This window comes from Homo sapiens, chromosome 6 (assembly GCF_000001405.40).
Source record: "Homo sapiens chromosome 6, GRCh38.p14 Primary Assembly".
NCBI lineage: Eukaryota > Metazoa > Chordata > Mammalia > Primates > Hominidae > Homo > Homo sapiens.
The window spans coordinates 139,347,969-139,353,968 of NC_000006.12; positions in this window are offsets into that span (position 1 = coordinate 139,347,969).

The following is a 6,000-nucleotide window of genomic DNA, read 5'->3' on the forward strand; positions in this document are numbered from 1 at the left end:
TAAAATAGAACAAGATAATGTCTTTGCATCAACTTGGATAGAGCTGGAGGCCATTGTTCTAAGTGAAGTAACTCAGGAATGGAAAACAAAATACCGTATGTTCTGACTTACAAGTGGGAGCTAAGTTGTGGATACACAAAGGCAAACAGATTGGTATAACAGGACTCTGGAGAGTCAGAAGGGGGAAGACGGGTGGGATAAGGGATAAAAAAAATTACATATTGGGTACAATGTATAATACTTGGGTGATAGGTACACAAAAATCTCAGACTCCACCACTATGTAATTTATCCCTATAACCAAAAACCATTTGTACCCCAAAAGCTATTGAAATAAAAATATTAAATAATAATAATAAAAGATTCTTGTGCATTTTTCTGGGATGTAGTTAAACTACTTGAAAACAGTTTGATCCTTTCGTGGCTTACTTTTAAGATTTGTTCATCAGTCTTAGGGTAGGGTTAATTATTCTTCACACTTAAGGCAAGACACTTTACCAAATGCTTTGTGAATTACAAGGTTTTTCAGTTTGGCAGGTGGGAGTGGGCACTATTCCCTGTCCTGTGTGAGTACCCACTATTATTAGCTCTAATTATTTTGGATGATTCCTTCCTTGCAACAATCTTCACTACTCTGTCCTGTAAACCCTAGCTACTTTGTTTTCTCCAGATTTTCAGCTCCATCTCCTCAACTCAGGGATACTTTGAAGCTCCTCTTCGGTTCTGTTTTTCTGTTCTGTGGCCTGAAGCCAAGCCAATCATCACTCATCTTATTTGTTTCCCATCTCCCAGCAATCAATGTTTATTGCTGCCTGACACCTAGTAACCTGAAATATGTTGTTTCATATATTTCGTCCTTTTGTGTTAGTTGTTTCGGGCAAGAGGGTTAATCTGTCCTTATTACTCCATCTTAGCCATAAGCACAAATTTTGGCAGCTACTCTTGATCATGCACATAGATTTATTGGGACTCCATCTGTTGATCATTCTCTATTGTTTTTCCTCTTATTGACAAATAATGTTTATGGGATGACAGAACAAGATAAAGTTGAGCTTGGACGAAAACTGCTATATCACCAAGAACTTTTAGTGATAGAAGTCTAATCAGAAAGTCCAAAGAGATCAATCAGTAAAATATAATTTTCTCAGGAAAAAAAAATCAGATTCAGTGCTTGGAAGCTTCAATGAAATCATATCTCAGACCCAGAATATGATTCATCTCTCCACCATAAGCCAGGAATCTGAAACAGAAGAGGTTTTCAGGGCCCTCAGATTTGCATGCCAAAGTCGTTTGGCTCAGGGGTCCTCGTCGGTGGCAGCTGAGCCTTGGTGGGTTCTGTAAACTGTGGAAAAGCCTGCTTCTTATTAAAAAAAACAACAAACAACAACAACAAAAAACTATTGTGATATAAGCAAATGAACTTCATAAACTTACAGACGCAAGAGAATACATTTCAATTCTGAAATAGCAGGGGAAATGACTGCATAATTTTTATTGTTCAGTGATTGATCTTGGAATATGAAAAGCGGGAAAAGTCTTTGAATTGATTGGTTTCTTAAAGTGGGGGTCGACGCCAGTTCTGAAAGAAGAAGGAAGTGTTTATGTGAGTCCTAAGACATTCTCAGTTGGAACTGGAAGTAGTTCTTCCAGTTCTGAGTTTGGCATGATTGATGGAGGTGGTTGGTCTGGTTCTAACCTGTTAACACAAAGTAAGCCCTGTGTAATGTTAGCCATTACTACAGATGAGGATAGGTAGAACTAGCGGGGCTGACTGTAGTCTGTGTGCTCATAGCAAGGCATATGTGGGTAGCATGCCTCAAATGCTCATCACTGTACTCTTCTGAGTTTAATTGACTGTGTGTTGCAAGCATGGTAGTCTTTTCCCCCCTGTGGCTTCTTTTTATGTTGTTTATTTTGTGTTTGGCAAACATATTTGATGACAGGGTTTAAGAAAAGTGAAGCAGAGAAACCTCATGCTGGATATTAACATGCAATTTTTACATTACCTAGAGGAGGCTTCAAAGAAAGAGTCGTGGAAATGTGCAGTTAGGGATTGGTGGCAGTCTACTGAGAAGTATACTCTACTTACAGCTACAACCCGGGAGGGAAAACTGACCAGAAATTGAATAAATGGGGCTTAGAAAAGCATGTTTCCAGAGGTGTGTGATGGGGAGATTTGAGATCAGGCAAGTGAGTATCAACTTAAAATGCTGTGGAATGCATCTCCATAGGGACCATGTCATAATAATGTCAGCCATAGCTGATGCAATTAATATTGCCATTTCTAGATGCACATTTCTTCTATGAAACAGGACATACACAAAAAGGTATCTCTTGTCAATGCAGTCTGCTGCAGGTCCAGGCAATTCTCCAGGGTGACCGCTATCTATATGGGGACTCCATGATCTAGACATGATCCTGTAACCTGTACCCTCTACGAGACATGGACCCCTCTGCTAAAGGTCAGGAGAGGAAAGAGACTGCCTTAGGCTTGGAATTGCTATATATTGACTCCTGTTCACATTTTAGTGGACAGAAACAGACTCATTACTTGCCCAAGTACAAAGGAGCTGAGAAGTAGAGCCCTCCGTAAGCAAGCCAAGGAAGGAGAGCTGGCTGTTGGAGAGCACTAGGTACTCGCCTTCTTGCTTCCAGAGCTGGGGCATATATTGCCTCATGCCTTATTTACCACTCAGCTTGGCTTGGTGAGCTCTCACTAATCTTTCTGGCTTCTAGTTACGTGATTATTTGCTTCATATTTACCTCTCCTATTAGACTTTAAACTCTGAACTACTTATTTTGTCTTGCTTCTCAACCCATAACACATACAGTATCAAGTGTTTAGTTAGACAGGCATTTGTAAATGAACCATTACCCAAAGTAGGGTAATGACAGAAGGCATCTGGGAATTTTTTTTCTGGATCTTGTCAATACTTTGTTTTGCTCACTATAGAAATGTTTAAAAGTTATAGGCTGGGCGCGGTGGCTCACACTTGTAATCCCAGCACTTCGGGAGGCCAAGGAGGGCAGATCACTTGAGGTCAGGAATTCAAGACCAGCCTGGCCAACATGATGAAACACCGTCTCTACTAAAAATACAAAAATTAGCCGGGTGTGGTGGTGGGTGCCTGTAACCCCTGCCCCTACTAGAAAGGCTGAGACAGGAGAATTGCTTGAATCTGGGAGGTGGAGGTTGTAGTGAGCTGAGATCGCACCGCTGTACTCCAGCCTGGGCGACAAGAGTGAGACTCCATCTAAAAAAAAAAAAAAATAGTTATAGCCAGCCTGATTTCACAGGTGCTAGACAAGAAGTTGCAAGACATTTACATGCCTGTATGGTATAGGTGCTACAGATCATCAATACTCACTCTAGTTTCTGATATTGGGTTATTGGCTTGTTCATGGCACAAAATTCCACCAGATAATATTAATTGTTAGGAACATAGATTATTAAAAATAGGCCGGACGCAGTGACTCAAGCCTGTAATCCCAGCACTTTGGGAGGCTGAGGTGGGCGGATCACGAGGTCAGGAGATGGAGACCTTCCTGGCTAACACAGTGAAACCCCGTCTCTAATAAAAAATACAAAAAATTAGCTGGGAGTGATGTTGTGTGCCTGTAGTCCCAGCTACTTGGGAGGCTGAGGCAGGAGAATCGCTTGAACCCAGGAGGCGGAAGTTGCAGTGAGCCCAGAGCACGCCACTGCACTCCAGCCTGGGCAACAGAGCGAGACTCCATCAAAACAAACAAACAAACAAACAAACTCCATTTCTTTAAAAATTTTCTTCAATTTTTTTCTGACTCCAAACATAATATGTATGGATTATAGAAAAATTATAAAGTAAATCAAATATAAATAAGTCTTAATTTCATTGTTCAAAAACCATTGTATTATCATCATGGCATACTTATTTTCAGACTTTTATCAACATGCGTATCATCATATAGTTGATCTCCACCAGTAAAATAGATTTTTATCTAGGACTTTTTTAACATTTTGTCATGCCATTTTCATTTTTAACTAAAGTTTTTTTAAACATTATTTTAAACAGCAACACAACTTATCTTTCTATGTTTAAATAATAATTTACTAAACCATCTTTTTAATAGTAGACATTTTGATTGTTTCCAAAAGCTTTTGACTACATATAAACCTGCAATAAATATTGTAATGCACAAACATTTTCAAACATTTTTCTATATTTTGGACTATTCTCTTAGGATAGATTCACAGAAGGAAAACATAAATTAAAGGCTATGAGCATTTACACAGCACCTTTAAGTGAGTTGAGAGTTTTGGGGTTTTTTTGAGATGGAGTCTCTCTCTGTTGTCCAGACTGGAATGCAGTGGAGTAATCTTGGCTCATTGCAGCTTTTACCTCCCGGGTTCAAGAGATTTTCATGTCTCAGCCTCCCCAGTAGCTGGGATTACAGACACCTACCCCCCATGTCTGGCTAATTGTGTTTTGTTTATTTGTTTGTTTGTTTTGAGATGGAGTTTCTCTCTTGTTGCCCAGGCTGGAGTGCAACGACTCCATCTCGGCTCACTGCAACATCTGCCTCTCTGGTTCAAGCCATTCTCCTGCCTCAGCCTCCCAAGTAGCGGGGATTACAGGTGCCCGCCACCATGCCTGGCTAATTTTTCGTATTTTTTGTAGAGATGGGGTTTCACCATGTTGGCCAGGCTGGTCTCGAACTCCAGACCTCAGGTGATCCACCCGCCTCAGCCTCCCAGAGTGCTGGGATTACAGCCGTCAGCCACCACACCCAGGCTTTTTTTTTTTTTCGTATTTTTAATAGAGATGGGGTTTCACCATGTTGGCCAGGCTGGTCTCGAACTCTTGACCTCAAGTGAACCACTCACCTTGGCCTCCCAAAGTGCTGGGATTACAGGTGTGAGCCACCATGCCCGGCCCCTAAGTGAGTTGATAGTTTTAAACAAATTATCCAACCTGCTTACTATTTTCTCAGTCATAAGTATGGAGTATGAGCTCCAGGGAGTTTAAAATACTTGGTCTTTTTTTGTTTGTTTTTTGTTTTTTTTTTAAGACAGAGTCTTACTCTGTGGCCCAGGCTGGAGTACAGTGGTCTGATTTCAGCTCACTGCAGCCTTTAGCTCCCCGGACTCAGGTGATCCTTCTACCTTAGCCTCCTGAGTAGCTGGGACTACAGGTGCCTGCCACCACGCCTGGCTAATTTTTGTATTTTTTTGTAGAGACAGGGTTTTGCCATGTTGTCCACGCTGGTCTCGAACCCCTGGGCTCAAGCAATCCCCTCACCTCAGCCTCCCGAAGTGCTGGGACTACAGGCATGAGCCACCACACTGGCCTAAAATACATAGTTGTTTTATGTAGGAGTCAAAACAATATTATTAAGTATTAATAACCCCTATACAATCAGCAGTACTTCATCCAATGAGACAATAATAACATGCCCAGCAATTCCACGCTGCCTTATGTAGCAGGTTCTTAACATTCAAGAAAGAAACACCTAAACCCATCGAGAATCCTCCAAGTTACAAAATTACTTCAACATATAGTTTTCCCCCACACATTTCCATATTTGCATTGGCTAAAGCACTGCAGAAATAATTTCTTCAATCATCCTTTCTTCCTTTCATATTGAATAAATATGTCAGAATCATTCACATAAGAGTCACTGACCAATTCAATATTCTTTTATTCTTTCACTTATTCAAAACCAAATTTTTCTGGCTAATAATGGTTACTTTATTTGCTCTTTACTTTTTCAACGCTAGCTTGCTTTTGGGGTCCATGCTAAATAAACATGGTTTTTATTATTCCATGTTTTCGCTGATGAGAAGGGAACAAGATACAATTATTGGATAGTCCCATAGCTCCAGCATCAGCTGAATGACTATCTCAGGTACCATCTTTAAACATCCACTAATCCAAAGTGACAATCTACTCTACATGTCAAGGGCTTCTTCCAGGAATTATGTGTGAATGCACAACCATGAACGATAAATCTACACATTTCA